A 21,242-nucleotide genomic window follows, 5' to 3' on the forward strand; every position below is an offset into this window, starting at 1 on the left:
CCTTTGCGTCCTCATAGCTTAGCTCCCACCTATGACTGAGAACATACGATATTTGGTTTTCCATTCCTGAATTACTTCACTTAGAATAATAGTCTCGAATTCCATCCAGGTTGCTGCATATGCCATTATTTCGTTCCTTTTTATGGCTGAGAAATATTCCATGGTGTGTGTGTGTGTGTGTGTGTGTGTGTGTGTGTGTGTGTGTGTATCACATTTTCTTTATCCACTCATTGATTGATGGGCATTTGAGCTGGTTCCATGTTTTTACCATTACAAATTGTGCTGCTATAAATGTGTGTGCAAGTATCTTTTTCGTATAATGACTTCTTTTCCTCTAGGTAGATACCTAGTAGTGGGATTGCTGGATCAAATGGTAGATCTTAGCTCTTTAAGGAATCTCCACACTGTTTTCCATAGTGGTTGTAATAGTTTATATTCTTACCAATAGCATAAAAGCATTCCCTTTCCACCGCATGCATGCCAACATCTATTATTTTTTTATTTTTTTGATTATGGGTATTCTTGCAGAAGTGAGGTGGTATCACATTGTGGTTTTAATTTGCATTTCCCTGATAATTAGTGATGTTGAGCATTTTTCCATATGCTTGTTGACCATTTGTATATCTTCTTTTGGGAATTGTCTATTCAAGTCCTTTGGGATTGTTTCATTTTTTCTTGCTGAGTTCTTTGTAGATTTTTGGATATTAGTCCTTTGTTGGATGTATAGATTGTGAAGATTTTCTCCCATTCTGTGGGTTGTCTTGTTAACTCTGCTGATTATTTCTTTTGCTGTACAGAAGCTTTTTAGTTTAATTAAGTCCCATTTATTTATGTTTGTTTTTGTTGAATTTGCTTCTGGGTTCTTGATCATGAATTATTTGCCTAAGCCAATGTCTAGAAGGGTTTTTCCAATGTTATACTCTAGAATTTTTAAGGTTTCAGGTCTTAGATTTAAGTCTTTGATCCATCTTGAGTTGATTTTTATATAGGGTGAGAGATGAGGATCTAATTTCATTTTTCTACATGTGGCTTGCCAATTATCCTAGCACCATTTGTTGAATAGGGTGTCCTTTCCCCACTTTATGTTTTTGTTTGCTTTGTCAAAAATCAGTTGGCTGTAAGTATTTGGCTTTGTTTTTGGGTTCCCTATTCTGTTCCATTGGTCTATGTGCCTATCTTTATGCCGGTACCATGCTGTTTTGGTAACTATGGCCTTATAGTATAGTTTGAAGTCAGGTAATGTGATGTCTCCAGATTTGTTCTTTTTGCTTAGTCTTGTTTTGGCTATGTGGGCTCTTTTTTGGTTCCATATGAATTTTAAGATTGTTTTTTCTAGTTCTGTGATGAATGATGGTAGTATTTTGATGGGAATTGATCTGAATTTGTGGATTGCTTTTGGCAGTATGATCATTTTCACAATATTGATTCTACCCATCCACGAGCATGAGATGTGTTTCCATTTGTTTGTGTCATCTATGATTTCTTTCAGCAGTGTTTTGTTTTTCTCCATATAGAAGTCTTTCACGTCTTGGTTAGCTATATTCCTAAGTATTCTATTTTTATTGCAGCTATTGTGAAAGGGGTTGAGTTTGTGAACTCAGAAAATCTGAGACAGGTCTCAGTTAATTTAGAAAATTTATTTTGCCAAGGTTGAGGATGTGCCTGTGACAGAGCCTCAAGAAGTCCTGATGACATGTGCCCAAGGTGGTCAGGGCACAGCTTGGTTTTATACATTTAGGGAGACATGAGACATCAATCAATATATGTAAGAAGTGCATTGGTTCGGTCTGGAAGATGGAACAACTTGAAGCAAAGGCAAGAAGCAGGGAGGGAGCTTCCAGGTCACAGATGGGTGATTCACAAATGGTTACATTCTTTTGAGTTTCTGATTAGCCTTTCCAAAGGAGGCAAATCAGATATGCATCTATCTCAGTGGGCAGAGGAGTGACTTTGAGTAGAATGGGAGGCAGGTTTGCCCTAAGCAGTTTCCAGCTTGAGTTTTCCTTAGTGATTTTGGGGGTGCAAGATATTTTCCTTTCACAAGTTCTTGATTTGATTCTCAGCTTGGTCACTGTTGATGTATAGCAGAGCTACTGATTGTGTACATTAATTTTGTATCCTGAAACTTTGCTGAATTCATTTACCAGTTCTAGGAGCTTTTTGGATGAGTCGTTAGGGTTTTCTAGGTATACAATCATATCAGCAAACAGTGACAGTTTGACTTCCTCTTTACCGATTTGGGTGCCCTTTATTTCTTTCTCTTGTCTGATTGCTCTGGCTAGGACTTCCAGTACCATGTTGAATAGAAGTGGTGAAAGTGGGCATCCTTGTCTGTTCCATTTCTCAGGGGGAATGCTTTCAACTTTTCCCCATTCAGTGTAATGTTGGCTGTGAGTTTGTCATAGATGGATTTTATTACCTTAAGGTATGTCCCTATATGCCGATTTTGCTGAGGGTTTAATCATAAAGGGATGCTGGATTTTGTCAAATGCTTTTTCTGCATCTATTGAGGTGATCAAGTGATTTTTGTTTTTAATTCTATTTATGTGGTGTATCACATTTATTGACTTATGTTAAACCATCCCTGCATCCCTGGTATGAAACCCCTCTGACCATGGTGGATTATCTTTTCAGTATGTTACTGGATTCAGTTCACTAGTATTTTGTTGAGGATTTTTGCATCTGTGTTCATCAGGGATATTGGTCTGTAGTTTTTTTTTGTTGTTGTTATGTCCTTTCCCGGTTTTGGTATTAGGGTGATACTGGCTTCACAGAATGATTTAGAGAGGATTTCCTCTTTATCTTTTGGAATACTGTCAATAGGATTGGTACCAATTCTTCTTTAAATGTGTGATAGAATTCAGCTGTGAATCCATCTGGTCCTGGACTTTTTTTGTTGACAGTTTTTTTTATTACCATTTCAATCTCACTGCTTGTTATTGGTCTGATCAGAGATTCTGTATCATCCTGGTTTAATCTAGGACAGTTGTATATTTCCAGAAATTTATCCATCTCTTCTAGGTTTTCTAGTTTACGTTTGTAAAGGTGTTAAAAGTAGCCTTGAATAATCTTTTGTGTTTCTGTGGTATCAGTTGTAACATCTCCCATTTCATTTCTAATTGAGTTTATTTGGATCCTCTCTCTTCTTTTCTTAGTTAATCTCACTAATGGTCTTTCAATTTTTATCTTTTCAAAGAACCAACTTTTTGTTTCACTTATCTTTTGTACCTTTTATTGTTTCAATTTCATTTAGTTCTCCTCTGATCCTGGTTATTTCCTTTCTTCTGCTGAGTTTGGGTTTGGATTGTCATTGTTTCTCCAATTCTGTGAGGTATAACCTTAGATTGTTTATTTGTGCTCTTATAGACTTTTTGATATAGGCATTTAATGCTATGAACTTTCCTCTAAGCACCACTTCTGCTGTATTCCAGAGGTTTTGATAGATTGTATCATTCAGTTCAAAGAATTTTTATTATTATTATTATTATTTTTTTTTTTTTTTTTTTTTTTTGAGACGGAGTCTCACTCTTTCGCCCAAGCTGGACTGCAGTGGCGCTATCCCGGCTCACTGCAAGCTCCGCCTCTTGGGTTCATGCCATTCTCCTGCCTCAGCCTCCCGAGTAGCTGGGATTACAGGCGCCCACCACCACGCCCGGCTAATTTTTTGTATTTTTAGTAGAGACGGGGTTTCACCGTGTTAGCCAGGATGGTCTCGATCTCCTGACCTCGTGATCCGCCCGCCTCGGCCTCCCAAAGTGCTGGGATTACAGGCGTGAGCCACCGCGCCCGGCCCTCAAAGAATTTTTAAATCCCCATCTAGATTTCATTGTTGACCCAATGATCATTCAGGAGCAGGTTATTTAATTTCCATCTATTTGCATGGTTTTGAGTGTTCCTCTTGGAGTTGATACCCAATTTTATTCTACTATGGTCTGAGAGAGTACTTGATATAACTTCAATTTCCTTAAATTTACTGAGGCTTGTTTTGTGGCCTATCATGTGGTCTAAGAGAATGTTCCATGTGTTGATGAATAGAATATATATTCTGCATTTTGTGGGGTAGAATGTTCTATAAATATCTGTTAAATCCATTTGTTGTAGGGTATAGTTTAAGTCCACTGTTTCTTTGTTGACTTTCTGTCTAGTGCTGTCAGTCGAGTATTAAAGTCCCCCACTGCTATTGTGTTGCCGTCGATATCTCATTTCTTAGGTCTAGTAGTAATTGTTTTATAAATTTGGGAGCTCCAGTGTTAGGTGCATGTATATTTAGAATTGCTATGTTTTCCTGTTGGACTAGTCCTTTTATCATTATATAATGTCCCTCTTTGTCTTTTTTAACTGCAGCTGCTTTAAAGTTTATTTTGTCTGATATAAGAATAGCTACTCCTGCTAGCTTTTGGTGTTCATTTGCATGGAATATCTTTTTCCATCTCTTTACCTTAAGTTTCTGTGAGTCCTTATGTGTTAGGCAAGTCTCCTGAAGGCAGCAGAAACTTGGTTGGTGAATTCTTATCCATTCTGCAGTTCTGTATCTTTTAAGTGGAGCATTGAGGCCATTTACATTCAATGTTAGTATTGAGATGTGAGGTACTATTCTATTCATCATGCTATTTGTTGCCTGAATACCTTGTTTTTTTCATTGTGTTATTGTTACGTAGGTCCTGTGAGATTTATGCTTTAAAGGAAGTTCTATTTTGGTGTATTTTGAGGATGTGTTTCAAGATTTAGTGCTCCTTTAGCAGTTCCTGTGCTGTCTTGGTAGTGGCGAAGTCTCTCAGCATTTGTTTGTTTGGAAAAGACTATCTTTCCTTCATTTATGAAGCTTAGTTTTGCTGGCTACAAAATTCTTGGCTAATAATTGTTTTGTTTAAGGAGGCTAGAAATAGGACCCCAGTCCCTTCTAGCTTATAGATTTCTGCTGAGAAATCTGCTGTTAATCTGATAGATTTTCCTTTGTAGGTTACCTGATGCTTTTGCCTCACAGCTCTTAAGAGTCTTTCCTTGGTCTTGACTTTAAATAACTTGATGACTGTATGCCTAGGCAGTTATCTTTTTGCAATGAATTTCCCAGGTGTTCTTTGAGCTGCTTGTATTTGGATATCTAGATCTCTAGCAAGACCAGGGAAGTTTTCCTTGATTATTCCCTCAAATATGTTTTCCATACTTTTAGATTTCTCTTCTTCTTCAGGAACACCAGCTATTCTTAGGTTTGGATGTTTAACCTAGTCCCAAACTTCTTGGAGGCGTTGTTCATTTTTTTAAATTATTTTTTCTTTGTGTTTGATGGATCAGGTTAATTCAAAAGCCTTGTCTTTGAGCTCTGAAGTTCTTTCTTCTGCTTGTTCGATTCTATTGCTGAGCCTTTCCAGTGCATTTTGCATTTCTCTAAGTGTGTCCTTGATTTCCAGAAGTTGTGATTGTTTTTTATTAATGCTTTCTATTTCACTGAAGAATTTTTCTTTCATATCCTGTATCATGTTTTTGATTTCTTTAAGCTGGACTTCACCTTTCTCTGGTGCCTCCTTGATTAGCTTGATAATCAACCTTCTGAAATCTTTTTCTGGCAATTCAGAGATTTCATCTTGGTTTGAATCCATTGCTGGTGAGCTGGTGTGATCTTTTAGGGGTGTTAAAGAACCTTATTTTGTCATATTACCAGAATGATTTTTCTGGTTCCTTCTTATTTGAGTAGAGTATATAAGAGGGGAGATCTGGGATTCAAGGGCTGCTGTTCAGATTCTTTTGTCCCACGGGATGCTCCCTTGATGTGGTGTTCTCTTCTTTCCCCTAGGATTGGGGCTTCCTGAGAACTGAACTGTGGTGATTGTTTTTGCTCTTCTGGGTTTAGCCAGTAAGTGGAGCTACTGGGCTCTGGGCTGGTACTGGGGAGAGTCTGCAAAGAGTCTTGTGATGTGATCCATCTTCAGGTCTTGCAGCCATAGATACCAGCACCTGCTCTGGTGGAGGTAGCAGGGAAGTGAAGTGGACTCTTTGAGGGTCCTTGGTTGTGTTTTTGTTTAGTACACTGGCTTTGTGTTGGTTGACCTCCAGCCAGGAGGTGGTGCTTTCAAAAGTACATCAGCTGTGGCCCTATAGGGAGGATGCAAACTTGCCCTAGGCATACCTGGTTAAGTACTCAGGTTTCTCAGGCAGTGAGCAGGGCCATAGAGCTCCCAAGAGATTATGACCTTTGTCTTTGGCTACCAAGACAGGTAGAGAAAGATCACCAACCAGGTGGGGGCAGGGACAGGTGTGTCTGAGCTTAGCCCCTCCTTGGGAAGGGCTTGCTGCGGCTGCTATGGGGGTGGGGGTGTGGTTCCCAGTCCAGTGGAATTACACCCCCAGGGGGATTATGGCTGCCTCTGCTGAGTCATACAGGTTGCCAGGGAAGTGGGGGAAAGCCGGCAGTCACGGGCCTCACTCCGCTCCCAGGGTAGCTTGCAGTTCTAAAGGCTAGTCTCACTCCCACCGTGGCTCCCTCAACAGCACCGAGTCTATTTCTAGGCAGCTGGTGACCAGGGCTGAGAATTTGCCCCAGACCATGAGCCTCCCCGTTGAGAAAGCAAGCAGACTCACAGTTTTTCAGCATCTCAGGGAAACTTCAGGGGTGATCCAGTTTCTTCAAAGGGTCTGTGGATCCTCTCAGCTTTCCCTATTTGCTCCAAGAACTACCACAGGAACATAAGTTCATGATGTGAGTCTCCACATGCCACTTTGTCCGTCCAGGCAGGAGCTATAGAGTAGTCCTGCCTCCTATCCGCCATCTTAATCGACTATATTTAAACATTTATTCTTCTTTAATTTCTAGCAATGATATTTTGTAGTTTTCAGGTGCATAGGTGTTTTTCATCTTTTGTTAAATTTATCCCTAAGTAATATTTTTATACTGTTGAATAAATGGCATTTTAAATTCAATTTTTTTTATTACTGGTATATAGAAATATAGTTGGTTTTCATATATTCCGTGACCTTGCTAAACTCATTTGTTCTAATAGCTCTTTTGGGATTTTCTGTATAGACATTTCATATGTGGGGGAAAAAAATCAGTTTACTACTTGTGAAATTGTTTGCCATTTTTCCTTTTCCTTGTACTGGTTAGGACTTCCATTATAGAGTTGAATAGGAGAGGCCAGAGTGACATCCTTGCATTGTTGTTGATCTTATAGGAAGCATTTTATCTTATTACAAATAAAGTGTAATGTTAGCTGTAGCCTTTTTGTAGATGCTGTTGGTAGGCTAAGAAAGTTCCAATTTATTCCTAGATTTCTGATAGTTTTTATTATGAATCGGTGTTGAATCTTATCAAATGCTTATTCTGCGTCTATTGAGATGGTTATGCTGTTGCTTGTTTTAATTGACTGTTTATGGGATGGTGAATTATATCGATTTTCAAATATTAAACCAACCTTACATTCCTGGGATAATGCCCTCGTGGTCATGATATACTATCCATTTTATAGAATGTTAGACTCTATTTGTTAAAATATTGTTAAGGATTTTTATGGCCATGTTCATGAGGGATATTTGTCTATAGTTTTCTTTTTTTATAATGTCTTTGTCTGGTTTTGGTATCCAGATAATGATGCTGTCATAAAATAAGTTGGGAAGTGTTTCCTCCTCTTCTATTAATATTGTCTGGAAGAATTTGTGTGGAATTGATATTATTTCTTCCTTAAATGTTTGGTAGAATTCAATAATGAGGACCTCTGGACCTAGAGTTTTCTTTGAAGGAAGGTATTTTAAGCTAATGTCTTTAATAGATACAAGGTTATTGATGATCAATTTCTTCTCAAGTAAACTTTGGTAGTTTTGTCTTTCAAGGAATTTATCCATTTCATCTAAACTGTAAAATTTATTAACATAAATTTTCATATTATTCCCTTATTTTAATATCTGTAGATATTAGTAATTTGTGCCATCTTTTTCCCCCCATCTAGAGGTTTTTCCCCCCGATCTAGAGGTTTATCAATTTTATTGAGCTTCTCAAATAACCAGATTTTTGGTTCCATTGATTTTCCTGTTTATCTGTGTTCTATTTTATTGATTTATGTTCTTTCTTTTCCCTTCCATTTGATTACTTTGGGCTTAATTTTTCTCTTTTTCTAGTTTTTCAAATTGAAACCTTAGATCATTCATTTTACAGTTTTTCCTAAATATATGTTTAGTGATACAATTTTCCCTCTAAACCCTGCTTTTGCTGCATTCCATGAATTTTGATATGTTGCATTTTCATTTTCATTCATTTCAAAATATAATTTCCCTTGTGAATTTTCTTCTTGACCTATTGGTTATCTAGAATTATGTTGTTTAATTTCCACATACTTGGGGGTTTTCCAGATGTCTTTCTATTGTTTATTTCTAATTTAATTTATTGTGATCAAGTAACATAAATTTTAATTCTTTAACATTTTTGACACTTTTATAGCCTACAGTATGCTCTATTTTTGTAAATGCTTTACCTGTACTTTAGAACGATGTATATAGTCTGATGATAGGCAAAGTATTTCATAATATCAAGTCAAGGTGATGAATAGTGTTGTTTGAATCGTCTGTATCCTTACTAGTTTTCTAATTTTTCAATCAATTATTGAGGGATAATTGTTGAACTCTAATATAGTTGTTGATTTGTCTTTTTCTTTTTTCAGTTTGAACAGGTTTTGCTTCAAGAACTTTGAAGCTCTGTTAATTAGGGTTGTTATGCTCTCTGGATGAATCAATCCATTTATCATTATTAATTTACTCTTTATCCTTCATAATATTCTTTGCTTTGAAATCTATTTAGTTGATATGAATAAAGACACTCCAAATTTCTTTTGATTTGCATTTGCAGGGCATATTATTGCCATCCTTTCACTTTTAACCTGTCTGTATCTTTATACTTAAAATAGGTTTCTTGGCTAGGTGCTGTGGCTCACGCCTGTAATCCCAGCATTTTGAGAGACCAAGGCAGGAGGGTCACTTGACCCCAGGAGTTTGAGATCTGCCTGTGCAACACAGTGAGACCCTGTCTGTACTATGTTAAAGCAACCACTAAAAAAGAACAAAACTACCAAGCCAATAAAGGAGATAAAGATGGAATTAAAAAAACCTCACTTTAAAGGTAGGAAAAGAGAAAAAAGGGCATATGACCAAATGGACAAACAAAAAACAAATAGCAAAATAATGTATTTTAACCCAAGCATATCAATTGTCACCTTAAGTTGTCCAAAGATTCCAATTAAAAGAAGAGATTGTCAAGATTGATAAAAATGCAAAACCGCACCACGTGTTTACAAAATTTTATCTATCTATCTACATTTTTATGTTTTTGAAATGGGGTCTCACTCTGCTGCCCAGATTGGAACACATTGCTGCAATCACCACTCATTGCAGGCTCAACCGCCTGGGTTCAAGTGATCTTCCTGCTTCAGTCTCTCAAGCAGCTAGGATCACAGTTGCACACCAGCACACCTGGCTAGTTTTTTAAAAAATTTTTGTACAGACAAAATGTTGTATATATCTTTAAATTGTCTCCTTCAAATGATATCACTTTATGTATAATATTAAAACTTTTCCTTTTTCCCATGCCAGCCTTTTAGCTATTGTCGTTTTACTTTTTAAATACATCGTAAACCCCACAATCCAATTCTTGGATTGGATATCAAAAATATCCAGTTCTTGCTATTTTTGCTTTATAGTCAATTATCTTATAAAGAAATTAAAAATGAGAAATGTCTTTTATGTTTAGTCACATATTTTCCATTACAGTGTTCTTCATTCCAGTGTATAAATTGGGGTTCAGCAAACTTTTTCTGTAAAGAGCCAAAAAATAAATCTTTTCAGCTTCGTAGGCCATATGATCTGTGGCAATTATTCAACTCTGCTGTTATAGCGTGAAAACAGCCACAGACAACAGGTAAATGAATGAGAGTAGCTGTGTTGGATTTGGTCCACAGGACCAAAAAAAAATTAATTTTTTTTCTGTCACCCTTCGCCCCGTTTTCTTGTAACTGTAGTTACAGGTTTGGTAGACCATTGGATGTTGTTCTGTTGCTCACTGATACATTTCTTACTCTCAGTCTTTACTGTGTCTCATTTGAGTTTGTTTCTACTACTATGTCTCCAAGTGTACTAGTCTTGTTCAGTTTCTAATTCAGTGTGTTTTTCTTTTTCTTTTTTTTTTTTTTTTTTTTAAGACAGAGTGAGACTCTGTCTTAAAAAAAAAAAAAAAGAAAAACACACTGAATTAGAAACTGGACAAGACTGGTACACTTGGAGAAGTGCTCTTTAAACAACTGTTTTAATATCCATGTCTTATGATTCTATCATATATATAACTTTTGAATTCTATCTGTGTCATTTCTGAATCTGTTTATATTGATTTTTTTTCTCCTGATTACAGGTCATATACATTCTTTGTCTCTGGTAATTTTTTATTGAATGCCAGACACTGTGAATTTTACATTGTTGGCTTAATTTCTTTTTTTATTATTACTATACTTAAGTTCTGGGATACATGAGCAGAATGTGCAGGTTTGTTACATAGGTATACACGTGCCATGGTGGTTTACTGCACCCATCAACCTGTCATCTACATTAGGTATTTGTCTTAATGCTATCCCTTCCCTTGCCCCCCACCCACCAACAGGCCCCAATGTGTGATGTTCCCCTCTCTGTGCCCATGTTCTTATTGTTTACCTCCCACTTCTCAGTGAGAACATGTGGTGTTTGGCTTTCTGTTCCTGTGTTAGCTGAGAATGATGGTTTCCAGCTTCATCCATGTCCCTGCAAAGAACATGAACTCATTCTTTTTTATGGCTGCATAGTATTCCATGGTGTATATGTGTGTTGGCTTAATTTCTTCCCTTTCTCCTTTTCTTCCTGTCTTTTTTGGGGGGTGGGGAGATGCAGTTTAATTTCCCTTTTTTTTTTTCTTTCAGTGTTCCTTTTAGGTTTATTAGGCTGGTCTGGAAAAGCCTGTGGTCTAGGTCTGGTTTGGCTCTGCTATTTAGGCAATACCTAATACCTTCTGAGATTATTGATGGACTTGATGTTGCATGTGTTAGGATGTCTTTCCATTATGGCTGGTGAGAACACAAACTGTTTTGTCCCAACGTAAGATCTAATGATTATTCTGCCTGCTGCTTTCTGGTAGTTTTTCCCTGGCCTTGGTAGTTTGCTGACACACCCAGGAGTCAGATGACTACTCATTCCAAGATTCAAGGAGACCTCTCAGCAGATCCTCAGTTTCTTCTCTCTCTCTCTCTGCAGCTGCCTCCTCTCTGGTACTTTATATCCACAAATTTTAGATGACTGGCCTTTCTGAGTTCTGAACTCTGTTTTCTCAACTCAGTAAGACTACCTGGTTCAGTCTGGATTCCTCCTTCTCATACTACAGCCTGAAAATTCTTTTCGGGCAGTGAGCAAAAGCACTTACAGTTTGCCTTCTCTCAGAGGTCACTGTCCTGGGATGCTTGTTCAATGTCTGAAAGCTGTTGTTTCATACATTTTGTCCAGTTTTCCAGTTGTGTAAGGCAAGAGAGTAAATATTCTCGTTGAAAAACACCATGACTGAAAGCAGAAATTTTGCTACTCTTAAATCTTTGGTCACGTGTTCCTGCTTTTCATACCTTTTGATATCCGAGCTCACCTAAGACTTCCTGTAAAATCACATTATTTAATTAAAAATTATTCTTTTTCCTCTCTAATAGACACTATAGTTTTATGATCAGAATTTCACTTTTTAGAATACGCTGTCAAATCCTCCTCGAACATAACTCATCACAAAAGTGTAGAACATATACTACATGTTACTCTGCTAGATGCTAAAAATGCAAAGATGAATAAAATAATGGATTATGCCTCCTTTTTCTCTGAATTTTTTGAAATCTATGTTTTTAAGATCTAGAACAGTGCTATTCAAAATGTGGTCTACATACTGGTGCCAATTTGAAGGGTTTCCAGCAGTGGACTATACTGTAAGGAGTTTGTTCCAGAGTATTCAAGCAGCTACGTTGCTGAACACGTTGCTTAGCTCACCTGAATTTTTTTTTTAAGCAGGACTTTCTTGAAGGAAGCAATGTGTTGGTTTAGATGCCAGAAAAAGGGCCTTCTTTCATTGTAGGCAGGTAATAAGCGGTTTATAGACCAGCTACGAGTACACATCTCAGAGTGCTTAGCATCCCCTTCCTTGGCTATTAGGAAATTTCAAGCATCGCATTTCCAGTCATTTTATTTAAATTCTTATTTCTTCTTCATTAAAACTAATTACTTCAGCTTTTATTTCATTTTTTTTATTATACTTTAAGTTTTAGGGTACATGTGCACAGCGTGCAGGTTTGTTACATATGTATACATGTGCCGTGTTGTTGTGCTACACCCATTAACTCGTCATTTACATTAGGTATATCTCCTAATGCTATCCCTCCCTGCTCCCCACACCCCACAACAGGCCCCGGTGTGTGATGTTCCCCATCCTGTGTCCAAATGTTCTCATTGTTCAATTCCCACCTATGAGTGAGAACATGTGGTGTTTGGTTTTCTATCCTTGCAATAGTTTGCTCAGAATGATGGTTTCCAGCTTCATCCATGTCCCTACAAAGGACATGAACTCATCCTTTTTTATGGCTGCATAGTATTCCATGGTGTATATGTGCCACATTTTCTTAATCCAGTCTATCATTGATGGACATTTGGGTTGGTTCCAAGTCTTTGCTATTGTGAATAGTGCTGCAATAAACATACATGTGCATGTTTCTTTATAGCAGCAGGATTTATAATCCTTTGGGTATATACCCAGTGATGGGATGACTGGGTCAAATGGTATTTCTAGTTCTAGATCCTTGAGGAATCGCCACACTGTCTTCCACAATGGTTGAACTAGTTTACAGTCCCACCAGCAGTGAAAAAGTGTTCCTATTTCTCCAAATCCTCTCCAGCAGCTGCTGTTTCCTGACTTTTGAATGATCGCCATTCTAACTGGTATGAGATATTATCTCATTGTGGTTTTGATTTGCGTTTCTCTGACGGCCAGTGATGCTGAACATTTTTTCATGTGTCTGTTGGCTGCATAGATGTCTTCTTTTGAGAAGTGTCTATTCATATGCTTTGCCCACTTTTTGATGGGGTTGATTTTTTCTTGTAAATTTATTTAAGTTCTTTGTAGACTCTGGATATTAGCCCTTTGTCAGATGGGTAGATTGCAAAAATTTTCTCCCATTCTGTAGGTTGCCTGTTCACTCTAATGGTAGTCTCTTTTGCTGTGCAGAAGCTCTTTAGTTTAGTTAGATCCCATTTGTCAATTTTGGCTTTTGTTGCCGTTGCTTTGGTGTTTTAGACATGAAGTCCTTGCCCATGCCTATGCCCTGAATGGTATTGCCTAGGTTTTCTTCTAGGGTTTTTATGGTTTTAGGTCAAATATTTAAGTCTTTAATCCATCTTGAATTAGTTTTTGTATAAGGTGTAAGGAAGGGATCCAGTTTCAGCTTTCTACATATGGCTAGCCAGTTTTCCCAGCACCATTTATTAAATAGGGAATCCTTTCCCCATTTCTTGTTTGTGTCAGGTTTGTCTAAGATCAGATGGTTATAGATGTGTGGTATTATTTCTGAGGCCTCTGTTCTGTTCCATTGGTCTATATCTCTGTTTTGGTACCAGTACCACGCTGTTTTGGTTATTGTAGCCTTGGTATAGTTTGAAGTCAGGTAGCGTGAAGCCTCCAGCTTTGTTCTTTTGGCTTAGGATTGTCTTGGCAATGCGGGCTCTGTTTTGGTTCCATATGAACTTTAAAGTAGTGTTTTCCAATTCTGTGAAGAAGGTCATTGGTAGTTTGATGGGGATGGCATTGACTCTATAAATTACCTTGGGCAGTATGGCCGTTTTCATGATATTGATTCTTCCTATCCATGAGCATGGATTGTTCTTCCATTTGCTTGTATCTTCTTTTATTTTGTTGAGCAGTGGTTTGTAGTTCTCCTTGAAGAGGTCCTTCACATCCCTTGTAAATTGGATTCCTAGGTATTTTATTCTCTCTGAAGCAATTGTGAATGGGAGTTCACTCATGATTTGGCTCTCTGTTTGTCTGTTATTGGTGTATAGTAATGCTTGTGATTTTTGCACATTGATTTTGTATCCTGAGACTTTGCTGAAGTTGCTTATCAACTTAAGGAGATTTTGAGCTAAGATGATGGGGTTTTCTAAATATCCAATCTTGTCATCTGCAAACAGGGACAATTTGACTTCCTCTTTTCCTAACTGAATACCCTTTCTTTCTTTCTCCTGCCTGATTGCCCTGGCCAGAACTTCCAATACTATGTTGAATAGGAGTGGTGAGAGAGGGCATCCCTGTCTTGTGGCAGTTTTCAAAGGGAATGCTTCCAGTTTTTGCCCATTCAGTATGATATTGGCTGTGGGTTTATCATAAATAGCTCTTATTATTTTGAGATACATCCCATCAATACCTAATTTATTGAGAGTTTTTAGCATGAAGGGCTGTTGAATTTTGTCAAAGGCCTTTTCTGCATCTATTGAGATAATCACTTGGTTTTTGTCTTTGGTTCTGTGTATATGAGGAATTACGTTTATTGATTTGCATATGTTGAACCAGCCTTGCATTCCAGGGATGAAGCCCACTTGATCATGGTGGATAAGCTTTTTGATGTGCTGCTGGATTTGGTTTGCCAGTATTTTATTGAGGATTTTGCATCCATGTTCATCAGGGATATTGGTCTAAAATTCTCTTTTTTTGTTGTGTCTCTGCCAGGCTTTGGTATCAGGATGATGCTGGCTTCATAAAATGAGTTGGGGAGGATTCCCTCTTTTTCTATTGATTGAAATAGTTTCAGAAGGAATGGTACCAGCTCCTCTTTGTACCTCTGGTAGAATTCGGCTGTGAATCTGACTGGTCCTGGACTTTTTTTGGTTGGTAGGCTATTAATTATTGCCTCAGTTTCAGAGCCTGTTATTGGTCTATACAGGGATTCAACTTCTTCCTGGCTTAGTCTTGGGAGGGTGTATGTGTCCAGGAATTTATCCATTTCTTCTAGATTTTCTAGTTTATTTGCACAGAGGTATTTACAGTATTCTCTGATGGTAGTTTGTATTTCTGTGGGATCAGTGGTGATAGCCCCTTTATCATTTTTTATTGCATCTATTTGATTCTTCTCTCTTTTGTTCTTTATTAGTCTTGCTAGTGTTCTATCTCCTTTGTTAATCTTTTCAAAAAACCAGCTCCTGGATTCATTGATTTTTTGAAGGGTTTTTTGTGTCTCTATCTCCTTCAGTTCTGCTCTGATCTTAGTTACTTCCTGTCTCCTGCTAGCTTTTGAATGTGTTTGCTCTTGCTTCTCTAGTTCTTTTAATTGTGATGTTAGGGTGTCAATTTTAGATCTTTCCTGGTTTCTCTTGTGGGCATTTAGTGCTATAAATTTCCCTCTACACACTGCTTTAAATGTGTCCCAGAGATTCTGGTATGTTGTGTCTTTGTTCTCATTGGTTTCAAAGAACATCTTTATTTCTGCCTTCATTTTGTTATGTACCCAGTAGTCATTCAGGAGCAAGTTGTTCAGTTTCCATGTAGTTGAGCGGTTTTGAGTGAGTTTCTTAATCCTGAGTTCTAATTTGATTGCACTGTGGTCTGAGGCACAGTTTGTTATAATTTCTATTCTTTTACCTTTGCTGAGGAGTGCTTTACTTCCAACTGTGTGATCAATTTTGGAATAAGTGTGATGTGGTGCTGAGAAGAACATACATTCTGTTGATTTGGAGTGGAGAGTTCTGTAGATGTCTATTAGGTCTGCTTGTTGCAGAGCTGAGTTCAATTCCTGGATATCCTTGTTAACTTTCTGTCTCATTGATCTGTCTAATGTTGACAGTGGGGTGTTAAAGTCTCCCATTATTATTGTGTGGGAGTCTAAGTCTCTTTGTAGGTCTCTAAGGACTTGCTTTATGAATCTGGGTGCTCCTGTATTGGGTGCATATATATTTAGGATAGTTAGCTCTTCTTGTTGAATTGATCCCTTTACCATTATGTAATGGCCTTCTTTGTCTCTTTTGATCTTTGTTGGTTTAAAGTCTGTTTTATCAGAGACTAGGATTGCAACCCCTGCTTTTTTTTTTTTTTCCATTTGCTTGGTAGTTCTTCCTCCATCCCTTTATTTTGAGCCTATGTGTGTCTCTGCACATGAGATGGGTCTCATGAATACAGCACACTGATGAGTCTTTATTCTTTATCCAATTTGCTAGTCTGTGTCTTTTAATTGGAGCATTTAGCCCATTTACATTTAAGGTTAATATTGTTATGTGTGAATTTGATCCTGTCATTATGATGTTAGCTGGTTATTTTGCCCGTTAGTTGATGCAGTTTCTTCCTAGCATTGATGGTCTTTACAATTTGGCACGTTTTTGCAGTGGCTGGTACCAGTTGTTCCTTTCCATGTTTAGTGCTTCCTTCAGGAGCTGTTGTAAAGCAGGCCTGGTGGTGACAAAATCTCTCAGCATTTGCTTGTCTGTAAAGGATTTTATTTCTCCTTCACTTATGAAGCTTAGTTTGGCTGGATATGAAATTCTGGGTTGAAAATTCTTTTCTTTAAGAATGTTGAATATTATCCCCCACTCTCTTCTGGTTTGTAGAGTTTGTGCAGAGAGATACGCTGTTAGTCTGATGGCCTTCCCTTTGTGGGTAACCTGACCTTTCTCTCTGGCTGCGTTTAACATTTTTTCCTTAATTTCAACTTTGGTGAATCTGACAATTATGTTTCTTGGAGTTGCTCTTCTCAAGGAGTATCTTTGTGGTGTTCTCTGTGTTTCCTGAATTTGAATGTTGGCCTGCCTTGCTAGGTTGGGGAAGTTCTCCTGGATAATATCCTGCAGAGTGTTTTCCAACTTGGTTCCATTCTCCCCATCACTTTCAGGTACACCAATCAGACGTAGATTTGGTCTTTTCACATAGTCCCATATTTCTTGGAGGCTTTGTTCATTTCTTTTTACTCTTTTTTCTCTAAACTTCTCTTCTTGCTTCATTTCATTCATTTGATCTTCAGTCACTGATACCCTTTCTTCCAGTTGATCGAATCAGCTACTGAAGCTTGTGCATGCATCACGCAGTTCTCATACCATGGTTTTCAGCTCCATCAAGTCTTTAAGGTCTTCTCTATGATGTTTATTCTAGTTAGCCATTCATCTAATCTTTTTTCAAGGTTTTTAGCTTCTTTGCTATGGGTTCGAACATCCTCCTTTAGCTCAGAGAAGTTTGTTATTACCGATCATCTGAAGCCATCTTCTCTCAACTCGTCAAAGTCATTCTCCATCCAGCTTTGTTCCATTGCTGGTGAGGAGCTGCGTTCCTTTGGAGGAGAAGAGGAGCTCTGATTTTTAGAATTTTCAGCTTTTCTGCTCTGGTTTCTCCCCATCTTTGTAGTTTTATCTACCTTTGGTCTTTGATGATGGTGATGTACAGATGGGGTTTTGGTGTGGATGTCCTTTCTGTTTGTTAGTTTTCCTTCTAACAGTCAGGACCCTCAGCTGCAGGTCTGTTGGAGTTTGCTGGAGGTCCACTCCACACCCTGTTTGCCTGGGTATCACCAGCAGAGGCTGCAGAACAGCAAATATTGCAGAACGGCAAATGTTGCTGCCTGATCCTTCCTCTGAAAGCTTCATCTCAGAAGGGCACCTGGCTGTATGAGGTGTCAATTGGCCCCTACTGGGAGGTGACTCCCAGTTAGGCTATTCAGGGGTCAGGGACCCACTTCAGGAGGCAGTCTGTCCGTTCTCAGATTTCAAACTCCACACTGGGAGAACCACTACTCTCTTCAAAGCTGTCAGCCAGGGACGTTTAAGTCTGCAGAAGTTTCTGCTGCCTTTTGTTCAGCTATGCCCTGCTCCCAGAGGTGGAGTCTACAGAGGCAGGCAGGCCTCCTTGAGCTGTGGTGGGCTCCACTCAATTCGAGCTTCCTGGCTACTTTGGTTACCTACTCAAACCTCAGCAATGGCGGGCACCCCTCCCCCAGCCTCACTGCCACCTTGCAGTTCAATCTCAGACTGCTGTGCTAGCAGTGAGTGAGGCTCCGTGGGCGTGGGACCCTCCAAGCCAGGCATGGGATATAAACCTCCTGGTGTGCCATTTGCTACGAGTGTTGGAAAAGTGCAGTATTAGGGTAGGAGTGACCCGATTTTCCAGGTGCCATCTGTCACGGCTTCCCTTGGCTAGGAAAGGGAATTCCCCGACCCCTTGCGCTTCCCCGGTGAGGCGATGCCTCACCCTGCTTCGGCTCATGCTCTGTGGGCTGCCCCCACTGTCCTGCACCCACTGTCCAACAAGCCCCAGTGAGATGAACCCAGCACCTCAGTTGGAAATGCAGAAATCACCCATCTTCTGCGTTGCTCACACTGGGAGCTGTAGACTGGAGCTGTTCCTATTCAGCCATCTTAGAACCTCTCGGCATTTATTTTATGGCTGATAACTGGTTTGGGGGACTTCTTAGCAACCACAGTCTAGGATGGTTTTATTTTTACCCTGGCACAGACTTGGAATTGGAACAACTGTGGCAATAGAATGCCTGTGGGACACCATTTAGCTTAGTGCTGGAAGGAAATAGAAGCACTTATGGGCTCTTTGGGATTTCCGTTATATCCAATTTATTTTTATGACATTCCTAGAAATAAGGCATCCCTTCGTTGTTCATGGTATATTTTCCCTCTCTCACTTACCTTCATCCTGACAAGATTTATTTTATCTCAATTCATGATTCCCCATTTCCTTTCCATTTGTTGACTGGTTTCTAAGTCTCATCTTCTCTGATTAGCCATTGGTAATTGTCGCTACCTAACAGAAAATGATTGTAACACATATTAGTATAGAACTAGAATGGGGGAGAGGAGGCAGTGAGTATGAGTACCCCTTGAAAAGATGTTTGTGTACTCTTTCTTTTCCAGTGGAAAGCTCACCAGAGATCCTAAAGAATGAAGATTTTTCTAGCAGCCGTGCTATTACATTGTACAAAGACAAGCGTCAAGAATCTGTAGACCAGCTGTCTTTGATTTTGTCTTATGAGTGCCAGATTTCTCAGAAGCTCTACATTCCTCGAAGTACAGCCACTGCTGCCTTAGGTGCTGCCGCACGGTTAGCTACATCCAGGAGCCTCCTACACTGGTACCCCAGTGTGAAAAGGATGGAAGCATGAGGGAGGGAGGGAGGAGGGAGAAAAACAGAATCCAGCCGCTTAGGCTTTGATGAACTCCCAGGCCAAAATGAGGAGTTATTGAAGCAAAATAGTATCTTGATCATTGATACTTTTGTCTTTCTGTGACTATATGTTAGCTTTATTATGCTAACAGTCTACTTTGATGTGTAAGTAAGTATTGATATTTACTGTTAATCTTGATTTTTCTTGATTTTATTCTGTGTCATTTTGTTCACCTTTGTTTTTAATGTAGTTTAAAGGAATTTGTTTTTTTGTGTTTGTTTTTCTTGTACATTATCATGACTGATAAATGAAAATTGAAAAACTAATGTTTGTGATCTATATTTGGCAAGACAAAATAGTCTCACATTCCTATCTCCAGAAAAAAAAGATGTCTGACTCTTAAGGCTGCTTTCTAACTTGAAGTCTTCTATATCATAGAGCACCATTATGTCTTTGAAATATTGGGATCAATAAGAAAATCTACACCCTGAAGCTTTGGTCATACGAATACTTTTACATTTCAAAAAAATTAAGCTGTTTGCAGTAAAGGCAATTTCTGAAATGTAGCTGAGCCATCTCTATAATTATCACAGTTCCCAAGAGCCTTAATGTAGCAATCGTTCAACAGTGGCATTGTTTAAGCATTTATATAACATGATGTTCTCTGAGGTCAGATTCTGTGAAATGTGATAATGGTAGTCTGTTGAGCTCATAGTATAGATCATCAAAAAAGACTGAAGGTGAAATTTTAAAATGTGAGTAATGCTAGTTAATTTTTTTTACCAGACTTATACCCAGATTTTAAAAATATTTTACTCACAGAATTAACCCCCAAAACAGAATCATTTCTTAGAAGTAAAATCTGAGAAAGAGATGTAAATAGCATGCTTCATGTAACAAGGTTCTCACCCACATAGCTGCTCTTCTAAGGCCTCCTTTTTTTGGCATTAAATGACAGAGCTGGTCTCCTGGTTCCTCTCTCTTTTTCTACAATAAGGAATTTCTCCTCTTTCCTTCCCAACTACTTAATTAGCAAAATATCCACTAAGGAAGGGAGTAGGAGGGGGGTAAATACAGAAATACATTCAGAGTATTATCATGAGACAAAGGTAAACCAAAAGTCTTTACTGATCATTTTCTGTTTAAAAGCCTTAGAGAAAACATGTTTAAATGTCGTACAATTTAAAAGCTCAGATTCACCTATAATTCCAATATATCTATAAGAATAATGTAAGGATACACTAACTGACAAAAAAAGACAAAAGTAATCTGGAAACATCACTGATAGTTAATCCAACTGATGAAAGAGTTTTGGGCTTTTGTGATTTTCTATCAGACATCTTTATTGGAGAAGGCAGGTGGAGAGTTAGATATGGAGGGTCAGTGGACAGTTAAATATAATGTGATGGTTAAATATTATATATATATATATATATATATATATATATATATATGATGCTTAATTGGTATGAACCGGTGGAGCAGTTTTTCATATAATTTTAGATAATTAGACAAAATATGTTTCAAAAGAAGAAAATTCATTGTGAAGTGATGGCACTTTTGATTCTTCCTTTAAAGAAGAAGCCAAATCTGATATTATATTTTACTTTTCCAGGTGAACACTAAACTGGGTTTGGGGCAAGATGACTCTGGTAGAAGCAGTATGTCGTAAGGGTTGATGGAAATACACATTTAGTAAGCCAAACTGTAACCCTCTCTATAATAGCACTCAGATACCAGAAGGAAGTCTGCCAAAGCTGGGTAGCCTTTTTGCAAGTTTGATAGTTGGTTTCATAATCTGATAGGGACTAATTTTACACCTTGCAAACTGGATGGGGATTATGAAATAACTGTGCTAAGGCTGTTTCAGAATCTCATTTGCCTGTGGCTGGATAGAGAATCATTTAGACAAAACTATCTCAAACTTCTTTCAAATGAGTGTCAACACACTTTGAAAGAAGCCTATTTAGTAATTAATGATTAATACCTTATTTCAGTTGGTGTGAAGAAAGAGCCTTTCAGAGGCTTGTAATGTTGACTACTTGGCTTTGACTAGGATAGCCACCCTGTCAATCTGTTTAC

General features: G+C 38.2%; 1 protein-coding gene and 1 long non-coding RNA gene across 12 annotated transcripts in view; one reads left to right on the forward strand and one right to left on the reverse strand.

Moving 5' to 3' along the window:
• Window positions 1–19,486, forward strand: part of TDRD5 (tudor domain containing 5) — a 99,660-nt gene extending 80,174 nt beyond the window's left edge. For all 11 annotated transcript variants that reach the window (XM_047447750.1, NM_001349923.1, NM_001199091.2 and 8 more), the window contains one exon: window positions 18,910–19,486. In XM_047447750.1, the coding sequence (XP_047303706.1) occupies window positions 18,910–19,157 (248 nt within the window). In that variant the 3' untranslated portion in view covers window positions 19,158–19,486. The remainder of the gene's footprint in view (window positions 1–18,909) is intronic.
• Window positions 18,755–21,242, reverse strand: part of LOC105371635 (uncharacterized) — a 39,520-nt gene continuing 37,032 nt past the window's right edge. The window contains exon 3 of the long non-coding RNA XR_922329.3: window positions 18,755–18,799. This is a non-coding gene — a long non-coding RNA (uncharacterized LOC105371635). The remainder of the gene's footprint in view (window positions 18,800–21,242) is intronic.

This window comes from Homo sapiens, chromosome 1 (genome assembly GCF_000001405.40).
Source record: "Homo sapiens chromosome 1, GRCh38.p14 Primary Assembly".
NCBI lineage: Eukaryota > Metazoa > Chordata > Mammalia > Primates > Hominidae > Homo > Homo sapiens.